The 18217-nt window shown below is 49.8% G+C and overlaps 2 pseudogenes, besides 3 other annotated features; both read right to left on the bottom strand.

The window, feature by feature from the left end:
- Positions 775 to 1388: an enhancer, noted in NCBI's record as "H3K4me1 hESC enhancer chr4:4144249-4144862 (GRCh37/hg19 assembly coordinates)". NCBI's record gives its function as "activates a minimal SCP1, AML or CMV promoter by ChIP-STARR-seq in naive H9 embryonic stem cells {active_cell/tissue: H9 hESC(naive)}" and the evidence as "EXISTENCE:reporter gene assay evidence [ECO:0000049][PMID:30033119]".
- On the bottom strand, positions 3826 to 6048 carry UNC93B4 (unc-93 homolog B4 (pseudogene); annotated as a pseudogene).
- Positions 11941 to 12442: an enhancer, noted in NCBI's record as "H3K4me1 hESC enhancer chr4:4155415-4155916 (GRCh37/hg19 assembly coordinates)". NCBI's record gives its function as "activates a minimal SCP1, AML or CMV promoter by ChIP-STARR-seq in naive H9 embryonic stem cells {active_cell/tissue: H9 hESC(naive)}" and the evidence as "EXISTENCE:reporter gene assay evidence [ECO:0000049][PMID:30033119]".
- Positions 12443 to 12942: an enhancer, noted in NCBI's record as "H3K4me1 hESC enhancer chr4:4155917-4156416 (GRCh37/hg19 assembly coordinates)". NCBI's record gives its function as "activates a minimal SCP1, AML or CMV promoter by ChIP-STARR-seq in naive H9 embryonic stem cells {active_cell/tissue: H9 hESC(naive)}" and the evidence as "EXISTENCE:reporter gene assay evidence [ECO:0000049][PMID:30033119]".
- On the bottom strand, positions 14732 to 15756 carry OR7E99P (olfactory receptor family 7 subfamily E member 99 pseudogene; annotated as a pseudogene).

Below are 18217 nucleotides of genomic sequence, written 5' to 3' on the forward strand. Positions count from 1 at the left end.
TTGCCCAACTCCGACTGGTTTTGCTGGAGGCTGCCTGGAGGATGTCGCCAGCCACCTCCAGAGAACACTCAGTCTACAGATGCTGAGGGGGAACTGGAAGCACACAGTGCTGGCCTTCACCCAGCTTACAGTGACACCTTGGGACCGCTTCTGAGTCTGCTTTTCACTGAAGGTCGGCGTGAGGAAGGCAGCGTTCCCTCCCAGATTTAGAAAATGTCAAGTCTCCCGCCGCACCCTTTTGTGTTTCTTACAGGACCTGGGGCACTTGCTGCCGCCACACTAAGGGCTCCAACATGTTCCCTCACACACTCAACAGAGAAGGAACCTGTGGCTCAGATGGCAGACTCCCTGTCCAAGGCCACAGAGTCTGGCCCCAGGGACCACTAGAGGCTTCAAGAACCAAACTCACATGAGGGCAGAGAGGAGAGATGGGGCAAGTTTAGGGCTGGGAGAATCCATAGAGCGATGCTGAGGCAGGCATGGAGCCTGGAGGTATGGACGAGGGTCTCGCCAAAGTCAAGGGTAGAGAGGCTGTGGGGAGTGAGGAATGGTGTGGGCCAGCCCTGGGCCTGCTGGGGTGCAGCTGGGGGCTCCATGGCCCTCCCACGGCACCCACTTGTCCTCACCCAACCGTTCAGAGCTCTTCATGGCGGGGGTGTCCCTCTCCTCTGGCCACAAGAGGAGCGGGTGGAGGAACGGCACCTTCAGGCCTTGTAGGGGGTCTGCCCCTCCACCAGCCTGTTTCTCGTGGGCATCGCAGCTGAGGCTGTAGCCTGGAAAGGGTAGTAACCGAGCGTACCTGGCCTCCAACCACCACTTCCAAGGCCCCTACTGGGCACAGGGTGACCCCACCGTGGCTCGGAAGTGGACCCTGTCTGACGCGGGGGTGGTCGCTGGAGGGCCGAGGATGCCTACACAGGCCCCTGGAGGGTGTGCCTCGGGAGTCTGTCTCGCCCTCTGGACCCATGGGGGACCAGCAACGCCGTCACACCCTCCTCTGTCTCTGCCAGCCGCTCCCCCGCTCCCTTCTCCTGGCTGGGGCTGGCAAAGGCAGGCAGGTATGGGGGGGCGGGGCCTCAGGAGGGAGGAAGGGCTGGAGGGCGGGGCCTACGGACACCTCGCCCCGCCCCCACTGGGGCTACGCACTCCCCACACCCCGCGGTCCCCCTAGGTCAGGGCCTCCCACCACCGCACCCAGAGGCCGGGCCAGCCGGGCGTGCACCCCAGGGGCGCTCCGTCCCCGGCGGCCTGGGACTCCCCAGTCAGGACAGTACAAAATCTCTTCATTGCTCATTTTCTGTAAAAAATCGTGGCTCTCGGCGGACCCTGGGGATAGGAGGTGCAAAGCGCGCTCACACGCGGCCCGGGTCCGCGGCCGAGAGCTGGGGGGTCTGGAGCGGGGCCGGGTCGCAAGAAGACCCTGACCCTGCTCCGGGGCTGGGGCGCGTGCTAGGGGCCCGCGGGGTTTCAGCTGTATTTTCGAACCCCTGTGCTTGGCCGAGGGGTTCCCAAGGCTCCACTCCGCCTTGGAGGGGGCTGCGGAAGCCCGGAGGTGACACGGGCTCTGGGAGGGGCGTCCCCAACGTGGGGGAGGGGTGACAGGGGCCTTTGAAGACAGCGCGGGACTAGGAGGGGGTGCCCCCGACCTAAGTCGTGGTAAACTGAGGCCGGCGAGGAGGGAGGCTGAGTCCGGGGACCAGGCGGCCCCTCGCTGCTCCTCGGGCCAGTCGCCCCCCTGCGCCTGTTCGTACGGGCAGGGCCGGCGGCCGAGTCCAGCGGGCTCGGGGCCAGGCCGGGGTCCCGCGGGCGGCGCCTCCTCCTCCGCGGCGTCCCCATACTCGCCCTCCGCGTCGCTCTCGTCCGAGTTGTCCTCCTCCAAGTAGCGGTCACCGCGCACCTTGTGCTGGGGCCGCGGGATGTGGGGCTAGCGCGGGGCCATGCCCCGCCGCAGCTTCTGCTCCATCCGCAGGTAGGAGACCGCGGCCGCCACCAGCGTCACCAGCAGCACCGCCAGCTTAACCTGGGCGTAAAGAGAGGGATGCCAGGGACCCGCGGCCGCCTCGCCCCGCACCTTCCTCGCCTATGCCCCTCGCTGAGATAGGCCCTTCCCTCCTCCGGGAGCCTCCCCGGCCACGCGACCCTCAACTTCTCCAGCCGCTCCACCCACGCTTCCTGGACCGCCTCCTGCAGGCGAGGCTCACATCCAGCACTGTCCCTTACAGTCGCCATGCCCCTGGCGACCTCAGTGTCCCACGCTGTAAGGGGACAATGCAAATCCCTTTGCCTCATAGGGTGCATGTGCCAGTGTTGATAAAGTGCTGGCCACAGGCCCTGCCTTCCCAGGGCTCACAACACTGTGTCCCTGACACACCCGTGGGCTGTAGTGATGCTCTTCATGGGGTTTTGACTATAACCCGCAGTCAGGAATGATTTCACACCATAGCTCAGTACACACACACATATCTGTATGCATACTTCCTGCTCTTTTCTTTTCTCCAGACACGGTCGCTCCGTTTCCCCACCGCGCCCCCTCCCTCCCTTCCCCCACCCACTGCTGGAGCGCAGTGGCACGCTCACTTCAGCCTCAATCTTCCAGGCTCAAGCCATCCTCCCACCTCAGTCTCCCAAGCAGCTGGAACTACAGGCACGCGCCACCACCTCCAGCTAATTTTTAAATTTTTTGTAGAGACAGGGTCTCCTATGTTGCCCAGGCTGGTCTTGAACTCCTGGCCTCAAGCAATCCTCCTGCCTCAGCCTCCCAAAGTGTTGGGATTACAGGCGTGACATGCCCAGCCCACTCACTGCTTTTCTTTTTCCTTTTTTTTTTTTTTTTTGGGAGACAGAGTCTCGCTCTGTCCTCCAGGCTGAAGTGCGGTGGCGCGATCTTGGCTCACTGCAACCTCCGTCTCCCAGGTTCAAGCCATTCTTGTGCCTCAGCCTCCAGAGTAGCTGGGATCACAGGGACGTGCCACCATGCCCAGCTAATTTTTGTGTTTTTAGTAGAGACAGGGTTTCACAGCCTGTTACCCAGGCTGGTCTCGAACTCCAGACTTCAGGTGATACAGCCACCTCAGCGTCTCAAAATGCTGGGATTACAGGCATGAGCCACTGCTCCCAGCCCACTCCCTGCTATTTTTAGTTCTATTTTTATTTTCATTTTTTGAGACGGAGTTTCGCTCTTGTTGCTTAGGCTGGATGGAGTGCCAAGGCCCCGTCTCGGCTAACTGCAACCTCTGCCTCCCAGTTCAAGCGATTCTCCTGCCTCAGCCTCCCGAGTAGCTGTGATTACAGCCATCTGCCACCACGCCCGGATAATTTTTGTATTTTTAGAAGAGACGAGGTTTCACCATGTCGGTCATGCTGGTTTCAAACTCCCTACCTCAGGCAATCCACTCGCCTCGGCCTCCCAAAGTGCTGGGATTACAGGCGTGAGCCACCGTGCCCAGCCTTTAGTTCTATTTTTAAAAAATGTTTAGCAACTGGGACTTGCTAGACCGAGCCACCATCTTTTGGGAGCAGAGCATGAGGAGCCTGCTCCCCTTCAGGCCATGAAGGGAGACAGACCCAACATCTGGACAACAGGGTACCAAACAGCCCACAGGATGGCTGTGATGCACCCACAAATCCCCTCAGAGATGGGCAAACTGAGACTGGCTGGAGGTGGGCCAGTAAGTGGGGTGCTGAGTTGGGGGCCACCCAGTGGGCTGCAGGAATGGGGCCTTGGCCCAGAGACTGGCTTGGGAAGGGGTGGCGTTTAGGAAGCTGTGCAGCCAGGGCAGGGGCTAAGGAAGTACCTGTCACTGGGCATGGGGCCCCCAACCCTGCCCAGTCTCACCTTCATGTGCAGGCTCGAGCCCAGGTACACGGGGAAGATGGCCACAGCCTGCCACCAGTGGTAGATGTGAAGATGAAGTCCTGTCTCTCCTTGTCTTCTTACAAGATTCCCAGGAGTGCTGCAGGCAGGCAGTGCAGGGCAGTCAGGGGATAGGTGTCACCTGGGGCCTGGGGATGCCTAGCTACCATCTATGAACTTTATTAAGCCCTGTATGTGTCCCAGCCCGGGACCAGAGAGCACCTAGAAAGTGCTGTGAGCCGGTCCTGGCCTGCCCCCTGGTGGAGACCCTGGTCACCACACTGCTCATACGCTAAGCAGAAGTAGGAGCAGGTGCGCCGGGCTGTGTGGATGCAGGTGGTCCCGCTCCGCACCACATGCGTGGCCTCAAAAGAAGAAAGCTCTGTGCTTAGTCATGTCCTGTCCCCAACCCCAGGTGTGCAGTGCCAAGCTTGCAGGCGCTGTTTCTCCTTCTCAGCCGGGACTAGAGAGATCGAACTGTTTGCAGCTGCCAACTCTGCAAATCAAACCTGAAGCTAAGCATGGAAAGGGGGGCTTCCCTTCCAGTGAGTCCTCCCAGGGTGGGCAACAAGAGTAATGGATTGGGAGTCAGAAGATGCACACTCGTTCTCAGGACTGTAATGTTGTCTCCGTGGGTGATTTGGGTACTTAACTCCCCAGAGCTGCTTTTCCCAATGGTGACATGAGCCTATGCCTATTGTGTGCTGTGTTCTGAAGTTCTAAAGTGAGAAAGTGGGCATGGCACCTGCCAAATCATAGGGGCCACTATTAACACCTTCACCAGGCACTCAGGACATGAACACTCCTGTCTTGGGGCCCTGCAGGGTGACTTTACCCCCACAGTGCTGCTATGAAGAGATAAGGATCCCCCAGGGTTCACCAGAGGAGATGGGATATGGAGCTGGGCAGAGGGGATGCCATGACCAGAGAGGGCACAACATGGGTCCAAGATACCCAGGATGGACTCGGCCCAGAATTGGCTATCCTTGGGCAAAACGGCCAAGAGACTGTGGTGCAGTATGAGGCTCCAGCCCCTGCTACAGACAGAGACACCGAGCCACCCTCTGCCCTGCCAGGAGCAGGCATGACCTCTGCCACTCCACACCCCCAAGGATGACGTTCAAACCTGTTCTTAGATTCGGCCCATCAGAACAGACACTGACATGGATGTCCCGCAGGACTGTGCCTATGTGTGCTAGCTGTGTGTCACTGCGTGTGCCCATCTGTGGGCAGGGAGCATCCTGGAGCTGAACATGGGCCCACCCGCTGCCTTCTGCAAACAGGGCCCTGTTCCCCAGCAGCCCAGACCTGGTGCCTGGACTCTGGTACTGAGCAGACTGGGTTGGGGCTGCAGGCCTGCTCCTCTCTATGCAAAGGCCCATGTCTGTATCTATGCCGTGGATGTACAACAGGCCACTTGCTCCTACCACATGCTCCGTGAGGCAGAGACCAAAACATCTGCTCCAAGTGTCACGAAAACTATGCCAGGTAAGCCCTGTCCCCTGGTATGAAAAGGGAGAATCCCTGATGTGTTTTTCACACTATCCCTAAGGGGTGTCCACAGAGCCCCACACCTGCCCCCTGTAGCCAAGAGATTTCACACTGACCCTCCAGTGTTGATGGGGCCCTGTGCCCGCCCTGGGGTATTAACGGAATGTCCATGGCGTGGAACCCCCACACCTGTCTCCAGGCTGTCCACGCCCTACCCATCTGCCCCCAGTGTGTCCATGAAACTTCCCTTCCACCCCCGGAGTGTCCACAGGAAGCCCCACCTGCCTCTGCCATGTCCACAGGACCCTATGTGACCATGGGACCCCATATCTGTCCCTGGGATGTCTATGTCTAGCCAACCACCCACAGATAGCCATAAAGCATCCTGCCCCGCCCCCCCCCCCCCCCAGTGCCCACAGCTATACTCACTGCTGAGTTCAGTCTTGTTCAGGGTGCTGCCCACGCCCCAAAGGGCAGCTGCCACACAGAGGATCCAGCTGTGTTGCAGGACCCGAGGCACAGGGGCCCAGAAAAAGAGGATGAAGGTGAGCAGCAGGTGCACCCCTGCTGCAGCCACGAGGGGCACTGGGCGTGGCAGCCACAGGCCCAGCAGGCCCAGGAGTGAGGCGGCTGAGGCGCCCAGGCTGTAAGCCACGAAGACGTAAGCCAGCCGCTCCAGCCCCACCGAGCACACGCCATAGCCCTGCGGGGGGACAAGGGGTGAGTGTTGAAGTCCGGAACAGCCCAGACCCCAGTCTCAGCCCTCCCCACATCGCGGGGGGTGCCTCACCCCCCTGCGATGGGGGTCCTAAGAGCCAGGGGGGAGAGGGGCTGGCTTGTACTCCCCGCATCGCGGGGGGTGCCTCACCTCCCTGCGATGGGGGTCCTAAGAGCCAGTGGGGGGAAGAGGGACTGGCTCTTACTCCCCGCATGGCCGGGGGTGCCTCAACCCCCTGCAATGGGGGTCCTAAGAGCCAGGAGGGGAAGAGGGGCTGGCTCTTATTCCCCGCATCGCGGGAAGTGTGTACAACCCCTGCGATATTGGCAGTAATATCATCCTCTCCGCCTGAACCTAAGAAACAATATCTCAGGAACATGTACACCCCCTGCGATATTGGAAGTAACATCATTTTCTCCCCCTCCGGATATTCGGAACAATATCACAGTGGGTGTGTACAGCCCCTGCGACATTGCCGCTAGTTTCTTCCTCTCCCTCCCAGGATAGAAGGAAGAATGTCACAAGGGGGTGTACACCCCCTGCGATATTGGGGGTAATATCCTCCTCTCCCCCGCTGCCTATTAGGAACAATGTTACACAAGGGGTGTACACCCCCTGCTATATTGGGAGTGATATCATCCTCTCTGTCCCTGGATATAAGGAACAATAACCCTAGGGAGTGTACACCTCCTGCAATATTCAGACTAATATCATCCTCTCGCCCCCTGGATATTAGGATCAATATCACAGGGGTGGTGAGCACCCCCGGCGAAATTGGAAGAAATATCCTCTCCACCTTTGGATGTTCGGAACAGTATCACGGGGGAGGTCTCCGCCCACTGCGATTTTGGGAGTCGTAACATCCGCTCCCACCCAGGATATTAGGAACAAGATGACCGAAGGGATGTACACCCACTGCGATATTTTCCATAATGTCATTCTCTACCCCCTGGCTATTAGGAGTAACATCGTAGAGGAGTGTAACGCTTTCTGCGATATTGGGAGTCATATCCTCTCCCCCACAGATATCAGGAACAGTTTTATTAATTATTAATATTAATAAATATAATAACAATTAATAGTAATCATTGATATTAATAACTACAGTGGAGACAGTAAACCTTAATGTGGATAAAAATATTAATGATTACAATTAATAATTAACAGCAATATCAATATTAATAATAAAATAATGATATCACTAATTAATGTTACTTAAATCCATCATAAGTGATGTTGGTAATAAAACAATGATTAATATTAATATTAATAACTAATATTAAAAATGACATTCATAGTAAGAATTAATTTTAATCATGCATAATCATATCTTTAAAATAATCATTAATGACTAATAAAATTATACTATTAATTAATATTACCATTGATAATCATTAATGAGACTGATGTTTAATAATTCATAGTATTATTACTCCTAATACAGCAGGGGGTGTACACCTACCTGCGATATTGTTCCTAATATCCAGGGATGGAGAGCATGATATTAGTTTTCATATCGCAATAGGTGTACACTCACCCTGTGACACTGATCCTAATATCCAGCGGGTGGAGTATGACATGACTGCCAACATAGCAATGAATGTACAGCCACCCGGTGATATTGCTCCTAATATTCACGGAAGAAGCATATGATATTACTCCCAGTATCGCAGGGAGTGTACACCTCTTCTGTGATATTGTTCCTAGTATCCCGAGGAGGAGAGGGTGATAATAATTCCAGCATCGCAGGCTGTGTTCACCCACCCTGTGATATTGTTATTAATATCCTGAAAGGGAGAGGATGATATTACTCTCCATAACAGATAGATATGACTCCCCATAATAGAGCAGGAGGTGTACACCCACCCTGTGATTTTCTTCCTCATATTCAGAGGCCGAGAGGTTGATATTACTCCCAATATCGCAGGAAGTGTACACCCCCGTGTGAGATGGTCCTTCGTAATATTCAAAGGCGTAGGGGGTGATATGACTACATATATCGCAGAAAGTGGACACCCCCCAGGGATATTGTTCCCATGATCCTGGAGGGAAGAGGATGACATTACTTTAAATATCACAGAAGGTGGACACGCCCCCACTGATATTGTCTCTAATTGCAACGTGGGAGAGGAGGATATGACACCGAATAACGCAGGGAGTAGAAATACCCCTGTGATACTGTTCTTAATATTCAGGGAGGAAGAGGATGATATTACTCCCAATACAGACGGGTGTACACCCGTCTGTGAAATAGATCACAATTTCCAGAGGGGAGATGATATTACTCACAATGTGGTAAACAGGCTGTGAGTCCACCGCCGATCCTAAAAACCACGGGGGGAAGAGGGGCAGGCTCTTACTCCCCGCATCGCGATGGGTGCCTCACCCCCCTGCGATGGGGGTCCTAAGAGACAAGGGGGGAAGAGGGGCTGGCTTTTACTATTCCTGAGGGAATAGTTTAGAGGGACTCATTCCCTGCTACCGTGGGTGAGATGTCTATGAAAAGGACAACCAGTGGGGGAGGGTAGCAAAATTTTGAAGTAGATTTCTGAGATCCCCAGCACAACCAGGAACAGAAACTCCACACTCTGCTGAGCGGATAGTTTGCACATTGGTCTCCTCCCATCTGCCCACCGCACTCTCCTGTTTGTCCTGAGGAGGAAACAAAACAAGGCTCCCAACCGTCCCTCAGCACTCACTTGAAGGTGTGGCCCGTCCCTCCACACCTGTGGGTATTTCTAGTCGGGTGGGATGAGAGACTGAGAAAAGAAATAAGACACAGAGACAAAGTATGGAGAAACAACAGTGAGCCTAGGGGACCGGCGCTCAGCATACGAAGGACCTGCACTGGCACAGGCCTCTGAGTTCCCTCTGTTTTTATTGATTATTATTTTTATTATTTTAGCAAAAAGGAATGTAGTAGGAGGGCAGGGTGATAATAAGGACAAGGTCAGCAACGAAGAGGTGAGCAATAGAATCTATGTCATAAGGAAGTTCAAGGGAAGGTACTATGACTGGACGTGTACGTAAGCCAGATTGATGTTTCTCTCCACCCAAACATCTCAGTGGAGTAAAGAATAACAAGGCAGCATTGCTGCAAACATGTCTCACCTCCAGCCATAGGGCAGTTTTACCCCCATCTCAGAATTGAACAAATGTATAATCGGGTTTTATACCGAGACATTCAGTTCCCAGGGGCAGGCAGGAGACAGTGGCCTTTCTCTCTCTCAACTGCAAGAGGCTTTCCTCTTTGACTAATCCACCTCAGCACAGACCCTTTACTGGTGTCGGGCTCGGGGACGGTCAGGTCTTTCTCCTCCCACGAGGCCACTTTTCAGACTATCACATGGGGAGAAATCTTGGACAATACCCCTCTTTCAAGGGCAGGGCTCCCTGTGGCTTTCCACAGTGTATTGTGCCCCTGGTTTATTGAGACTAGAAAATGGCGATGACTTTTACCAAGTATACTGCTTGGAAACATCTTGTTAACAAGGCACGTCCTGCACAGCCCTAGATCCCTTAAACCTTGATTTCATACAACACATGCTTTTGTGAGCTTCAGGTTGGGTCAAAGTGGCTGGGGCAAAGCTACACATTAACAACATCTCAGCAAAGCAATTGTTGAAAGTACAGGTCTTTCTCAAAATGGAGTCTCTTATGTCTTTCCTTTCTACATAGACACAGTAACAGTCTGATTGCTCTTTCTTTTGCCTACACTCACTGAACTGCCCTTCCCATCTGCTGGGCCATGACCACGGAGAACAGGTCCACTGTCCTCCCTGTGTGGTGCACCATGGAGGCTCAGACTCCGGCCTCAAGGCTGGCAAGAAGACAGGTTGAGACATGAGCCTCCTGATACTGGTGACGGGAGTGGAGCCCACAGGACTGGAACCTCACACTGCAGGGCTGGAGGCACAGACTGACTATTTACTATTCTGTGGCCTGGGGTGCTCAAGGCACAGAGCTCCTTATTAGCCAAAGTCACCCAAGTTCCCCAACCTCTAAAGATTTCCTCATAATAATGCAAGAAGAAGAAGAGAAAAGTGAGTGTCCATAGAAGCTTTGGGGCTCTTCCTCTAATCAGGAGAAAGCTGGTGTGTATTCTTCACTTCTTTCTTTTCTTTTTAAACATCCAACTGCTTTAATTTTCATCTTTTATTATGGGAAAATATACCACATATAAATATTAAAAATTATAAATATATATTAGTTTATATAGAATGGCCAGTATAAACATTTAGTTTCCACGCTTTTTCAGTTTACAGTTTCATGACATTAAGTACGTTCACATTGTTTAGCAACCATCACCGCCATCGTCTCCGGAACAGTTTTATCTTTCAAAATGGAAATTGCACCCTTTCACCAAGCTCTCCACTCCTCTCTCTCACCCACCCCTGGGGGACACCTTTCTAGTTTGCAACTCTATGAGTTTAACTACTCTAGACACTTGATAGATAAGTGGAATCATACCGTGTTTAATTTTTTTGTTTTGGAGACAGAGTCTTTCTCTGTCACCCCGGCTGGAGTGCAGTGGCGTGATGTCGCCTCACTGCAACCTCCACATCGTGGGTTCAAGCGATTCTTGTGTCTCAGTCTCCCGAGTAGCTGGGATTACAGGCGTGCGCTACCACGCCCAGCTAATTTTTGTATTTTTAATAGAGACCATATTGGCCAGGATGGTCTCGAACTCCTGATCTGAAGTGATCCGCCTGGCTCAGCCTCCCCAAGTGCTGGGGTTACAGGTGCGAGCCACAGAGACTGGGCGTGTTTATCCTTTTGGGATTTATTTATTTCACTGACGATAATGTTTTCAAGGTTCATCCATGTTGCGGCCTGCGTCAGAAGTGCCTCTCTGTTTTTTGTTTGTTTGTTTGTTTGTTTGCTCATTTGACTTTGTTTTGTTTTGTGTTTCCATGGAGTCTCACTCTGTCGCACAGGCTGGAGTGCAGCGCCACAATCTGGGCTCACTGCAACCTCCGCCTCCCGGGTTCCAGCCATTCTTGTGCCTCAGCCTCCCGAGTGCTTGGTACTATAGGCACACCCCACCACACTCGTCTGATTTTTTGCATTTTCAGTAGAGACAGGGTTTCACCAGGATGGCCAGGTTGATCTTGAATTCCTGACCTCAGGTGATCCACTCACCTCGGTCTTCCAAGACGCTGCGATTTTAGGCGTGAGCCACCGCATTGGCCAGAAGTGCCTGCCTTTTTAAGGCTGAATAGTCTTCCATTATATGAAGGAACTGCAGTGTGCTTTTTCATTCATCAGTCCACGAACTCTTGGGTTGCTTCCACATTTTGGCTGTTGTGAATAATGCTGCTATGAATATGGGTGTACACAAATCTGTCTTCCACTCCTGGCTTCTAATTCTTTCTGGTAGGTACCCACGAATGCAACTTCGGGAACATCTGATCATTCTGTTTCTAATTTTTCCAGTACACGCCATACTATTTTCCCCGTTCCTTCATTGTTTTACATTCCCTCCGATCATATTCGAGCATTCCTACCTCCCTCTAGTCTCACCAATGCTTGTTTGTTTATCATATCCATCCTAATGTGTGGTATCACATTTTTGGTTTGATTTGGGCTTCCCTATGATGAGTGATTTTGAACATCATTTTAGATGCTTATTGGCCATTGCTATATCTTCTTCAGGAAGACGTCTACTCGAGTCTTCTGACCATTGTTGATGGGATGCTTTGGGTTTCTTGGTGTTTAGTTCTAGCTGTTCTTTATATATGATGGATATCAGCCTCTTTTCAGATATATGCTTTGCAAATATTTTTCCTAATCCATGGGTTATCTTTTCACTCAGTTCGCAGTGTTTTTTGCTGCACAAAAGTGTCTGTCATTTAGATGTAATCCAAGGAATCTAATTTTCTTTTGTTGCCTATGCTTTTGGTGTCATATCCCAGAGAACATTGATCAATCTGATGTCATGAAAGCGTGGCCAATGTTTTCTTCTAGGCGTATGATACTTTTAGCGCTTGGGGTGAGGTCTTTGATCCAGTTTGTGTTAATTTTTGCACCTGGTGTGACATAGGGTCCACCTTCATTCTTCTGCATGTGGAAATCAAGTTTCTCCAACACCTATTCTTGAAAAGATTGCTTTTCCACCAATGAGCTTTCTTAGCACTCATGTGAAAGATCATTTGAACACATAGGTGAGAAGTTATTTCTGGGCTCCAAAAGAAACAAACAACAACAGACAACAGATAAGGATACAGCATGGGCCGGGCGCGGTCGCTCATGCCTGTAATCTGAGCCTCTGGGAGGCCGAGGCAGGCGGATCACCTGAGGTCAGGAGTTGAAGACCAGCCTGACCGACAGGGAGAAACCCCCATCTCTGCTACAAATACAACATTAGCTGGGCGTGCTGGCACATGCCTGTAATGCCAGCTACTCGGGAGGTGGAGGCAGGAGAATCGCTTGGACCCAGGAGGCAGAGGTTGCGGTGAGCCAAGATTGCACCGTGACGCTCCAGCCTGGGCAACAAGAGCGAAACTCCATCTCAAAACAAACAAACAAAAAAAAAAAACAAAACAAAAAACCAGCATGATTTCAAGAGCAGAAAGAGAAGAGCTTAAAAACCAGCATAATGAGAAAGTTAGGAAGCTTCTTACCAAAGCATCTGGAAAGATGCAAGAAATTCTTGTGAACTAAAATTTTCATACTGTACTATCAAACACTAGAACTCACTTATTCCATCTTTCTGTATTTTGGGACCCAATTATCCACTTGTCTTCATTCCCTAACCCACCCCTTTTCTTCCCAGTGTCTGCTAACCACCTTTTTCCACCTTCCTGAGATTCCTTTTGTGTGTAGGTGTGTGATGGAGTCTCTTTCTGTTGCCCAGGTTGGAGTACGCAGGCACAATACGGCACACTGCAAGCTCCGCCTCCTGAGTTCAAGTGCTTCTTGGGCCTCAGCCCTCGGAGTAGCTGAGACTACAGGCACGCGTCACCACGCCCGGCTCATTGTTTGTGTTTTCCGTAGAGACGGGGTTTCACCATGTTGGCCAGGCAGGTCTCGAACTCCTGGACTCAAGTGATCCGTGCGACTCGGCCTCCCGGAGTGCTGGGATTACAGGCCTGAGCCACCACACCTGGCCAAGGTTTCCTTTTTTCTTCCTACATAGAAGTGAGGACTTGAAATATTTGTCATTCTGTGCATGGCTTATTTCATTTAATATACAGACCTGCAATCTCATCCATTTTGTCTGCAGCGGAGAGGAGTTTCTTCCTTTTTAGGCTGAATAATACTTCACTGGGTGTGTATACCACAGTTTCTTCATTGAAACAAATTTCTGAAGAGCAAATATTTTTAAAATGTCTCGGAATGTGAAACTTCAGGGATACTGTGCCCATTTTGTTCTTTTCTATTTCCCATCTTATGTATATGCAAGTGTATAACAAAGCAGCAATCAATGTGTGTATAAATCTATAACTTCAACAAATGTAAAATGTAAATGCTAAGTGGTGGCTGGGCGCGGTCGCTCATGCCTGTAATCCCAGCACTTTGCGAGGCGGAAACGGCCGGATCACCTGAGGTCGTGAGTTCAAGACGAGCCTGACCAAAATGGAGAAACACTGTCTCTATTAACAATACAAAAAAAAAAAAAAAATTAGCCAGGCATGTTAGCGCATGCCTGTAATCCCAGCTACTTGGAAGGCTGAGACAGGAGAATTGCTTGAATATGGGAGGCAGAGGTTGCAGTGAGCCGAGATCGTGTCATTGAACTTCAGCCTGGAAAACAAGAGTGAAACTCTGACCCAAAAAATAAGGAAAAGAAAGAAATGGAAAATGCGAAATGGTAAGAAAAAATGGCATAATAAACATTTGTGTGGTGTTGATGGACAATGCATTTGAAGATAATATTTGAGAAATCATATTACAATTATTTTCTGTTCTTACTCATTGGAGCTTGATGCCCCTAAAAACTTCATCATTGGAACCACCTCTGGTCCTTTAAAAGAAAAAAAAAATCCACATTCTCACACAGGTGCAAGAAAATGAGAATCTCAGGCATTGAGACCCAGGCCTCATCATTTGTAAGCTCCCAAGGTGAGTTGACTCAAAGCCAAGATTGAGGAACGGCGACATGGATCTCCACATAACCTGCCTAAACAGATTCTCTAGAAGCAGTTTATAAAGAAATTCCACATGAACTGTGGAAGAGGATATGAATATGATGAAGAATATGTCCTCACTTAACATCTTTGAAAGTCTCTTGGAAACTTCACCTTGAAGCAAAATTATATATAGTGAAACCACTTATTTTTCATCAACAGTATAACTACACAACTTTGAACAACCAATGGTGTTGGAGGACCTCCTGTACATTGTTTCCATAAAGTCAGTTTTCAGGGAATTCCAAAACGAAGTGAGGACTTCTTGTATATAAAAAGATGTTTGTGATTCCACCTGGATGACAGGTTATTGCTCAGAAAGTAAAAGAGGCCACCTAGGTATAGAGGATTCTGTCATGAGGTTTCTGCTAAACAAAGGATCCCAGAATCCTCACCCATTCCAGTAAAAGGCATAACGAAGAAAACAATATTCACAAAGGAAATGGGGAAAGGAATAAAAGCCATCAAGCCACAAAAAGAAAGTGACTAAGGGGCAGGGTTTGCAGATGTAGAGATTTAATGTGGTTGCCCTTTCTCACCCACACAAGAAAAAGAATGAAACAGATCATGAAATTCGACTGTTCTGCTGAGCAGCCTCCGCAGGGCACTTTGTATGTCCCTGTTTCTCAGGCTGTAGATGAAAAGGTTCAGCATGGGGGTGACCACAGCCTACATCACTGATGCCACCACTCCATTCCTAGGGGGTGGTGCCACAGCTGAAGTCAGGTACATACCAATGCCTGTTCCATCAAATCAGCAAACAACTGCTAGGTGAGAGCCACAGGTGGCGAAGGCTTTATACTTCCCATCTGATGATGAAATCCTTAGAATGGAGGGGACGATTTTATAGTAAGACCAAAGGATCCCTGAAATGGGAAGAAAACCAAACATAGTACTATCGAAATATATGAATATGCTATTGATGACGCTGTCAGAACAGGCAAGTTTGAGAAGATGAGAGGGGTCACAGACAAAATGAGAGATTTCCACATTCTTGATGATGGTGAATTGTAACACAATCGAACTGTGCAGCTGGGAATCCAACAGGCTAAGGAAAAAGGACACCAAAACGAAGAAGACACAGAGGTGAGGATTCACGATGACTGGGTAGTGCAGAGGACGACAGATGGCTACAAAGCAGTCATAGGCCATCACAGTCAGGAGCATGCCTTCTATACATGCAAAAAGGACCAAGAAAGACATCTGCGTCAGGCAGCCCGCATGAGAGATGACTCTGCTATGCGACTGCATTCCACAATCATCTTGGCAACCGTGGCCGAGGTGAAACCGATGTCAGCCCAGCACAGGTTGGAGAGGAAGAAGTACATGGGGTTGTGGAGGGGGGAGTCAGAGCGGACAGCCAGGATGCTGAGCAGGTTCCTCAGCACCGTGACCAGATACATGGACAGGGACAGGGACAGCAAAGCGAGGACCGGCTGCAGTTCTGGATCCTCTGAGAGTCCCAGGAGGAGAAATTCTCAGACCCCTGTGTGATTCCGTGGCTCTGTGTGTCTTGGACACCTTGAGAAGGAAAGAGGATTGGAAAAATAAAAGATAAAAACCAGCCCTTAATGCTGGATGCAAGCAATTCACAAGGAACATCTTCACTCTTGCGGACCATACACCGCCAGCAATGTTTCTCAGTTGTGACAATTCCAAAAATCTCAGAATTATTACGTGATTTCCTTTTTGGCTATACAAGGCTTTCTATACATACTACTTTAGAGAAAATCCACTGAAGAATATTAGAAGACCAAAACATCATATATAACAAATCCGTGATCTCAGTAAAATACGGCCTACTCTTTTCTGAAAAAATACAATGCAATGACAATGTCCTTCTCTCTTTAAGAAAAAGATCTCAGTCTAATTGAAAGGAATTAAGAAGCCATGAAATACACTCTACTTTATTCTGACACCGTGCTACAGCTTCCACTGATGTAGAATATGTAAAAGGACGACACAAGAGCTAGGACCCCATTATCTGAAAACGACATTGAACCTTATAGTTCTCAATCGGAGATCTTTTCACATGCCTGTTACTTTTCATATTTATTATCATCCTTCAGTTGTCTGACATCATTTCTTCATAAAAGTAGATGCACGCTCAAAGATGGGAGCTGTGTTTCCAAATGAATTGAATATTTAACTGTTGGCCCAGCACCATGGCTCACACCTGTAATCCCAGCACTTTGGGCTGCCGAGGCTGATGGATCACCTAAGGTCAGGAGTTCCAGACCAGCCTAGCCAATGTGGTGAAACCCCGCCTCCAGTGAAAATTAAAAAAAAATTAGCCGGGCCTTGTGGCGGCTAACCCTAGCTACTCGGGAGGCTGAAGCAGGAGAATCCCTTAGAACCTGGAAGGCAGAGATTGGACAACCTGTGATAGGATTTTTGATATCCTGGAGAGATATTGCTCCTGACAGCAGAGTGGGGGTACACCCTGTGATATTATTTGTAATATCCTAGAAAGATATTGCTCCTAATATCACAGTGGCTCTACACCCTGTGATATTAATTGTAATATCCTACAGAGATATTACTCCTAATAATACAGTGGGTGTACAGCCTGTGATATTATTCATAATATATTACAGAGATACGACTCCTGATATCACAGTGAGTGTACACCATGTTTGTACACTCTGTGATCTTATTTGTAACAACTTAGAAAAATATTACAGCTAATATCAAAGTGGGTGTACACCCTGCGATGTTATTTGTCATCCACTAGGTAGATGTTACTCCTAATATCACAGTGAGTGTACACCATGAGCGTACAGACTGTGAAATTATTCGTAATACCCTAGGAAGATATTACTCCTCATATCACAGTGGGTGTACACCGTGAGTGATATTTTTTTCTAATACCCAGCAGGGGAGAGGATGACATTGCTTTCAATATCACAGAAGGCGTACACCTCCCTGTGATATTGTTCCTAATATCCAGGAAAGGAGAGGATGACATTATTCGCAATATCACTGGGGGTGTACCACCTCCCGCCGGGATATTGTTCTTAATATCCGGAGGTGGAGAGAATGATGTTACTCCCAATATCACAGGGGGTGTACACCACCCCTGTTTGTAAACACCCCCTGTGATATTGTTCCAAATGGCCTGTGAAAGAGTAAACATGACTCCCATTATTGCGGGGGGTGTTCAGCCCTGATGATATTGTTTTCTAACATCCAGGGAAGGAGAGTATGCTATTACTTCCAATATCGCAGGGGTTGTACACCCTTTTGTGTTTTTGTGCCCAATATCCAGGAAAATAGAGGATGATATTACTCCCAATGTCGAAGTAATTGTACAGCACCCCTGTGATATTCTTCCTAATATCCCGAAAGGAAAAGAATGATATTACTCCCAACAGCGTAGCAAACGTATACCCACGCTGTGGTATCTTTCCCAGTATCCAGGTGGGGAGAGGATCATATTACTTCCAATGTCGCAGGGTGTGTACACCCCCTCTGTGATCTCGTTGCTAACATCCAGGTTTGGGGAGGACGACATTACTCCCAATATCGCAGGGGGAGTACACACCCCTGTGAAAATCTTCCTATTTTCAGAGGGAGAGAGGATAGTATTACTCCCAGTACCGCAGGGGGTATCCACAGCCCTGTGATACTCTTCCTAATATCCACAGGGAGAGAGGATGATATGACTCCCAATATCGCAGGGGGTGTACACAACCCTGTGATATTGTTCCTAACATCCAGAGCGAAAGAGGATGATATGACTCTCAATATCGCAGAGGGTGTACACCCCTCCTGTAATATTGTTCTGAATACCCTGGGAGGGAGAGAATAAGGTTACATTAAATATCGCAGGTAATGTACACCATCCGCCTCTGATACCCTTCCTAATGTCCAGGGGAAGAGAGGAAAGTTTCACTCCCAATATGACAGAGGCAGTACACCCCACCTGTGATGTTGTTCCCAATATCCAAGGGGGGAGATGATGATACTACTCTCAATATCGCAGGACTGTTCACATCCCCAGTGACATTTTTTCCTAATATCTAG

This window comes from Homo sapiens, chromosome 4 (genome assembly GCF_000001405.40).
Source record: "Homo sapiens chromosome 4, GRCh38.p14 Primary Assembly".
Classification (NCBI taxonomy): domain Eukaryota; kingdom Metazoa; phylum Chordata; class Mammalia; order Primates; family Hominidae; genus Homo; species Homo sapiens.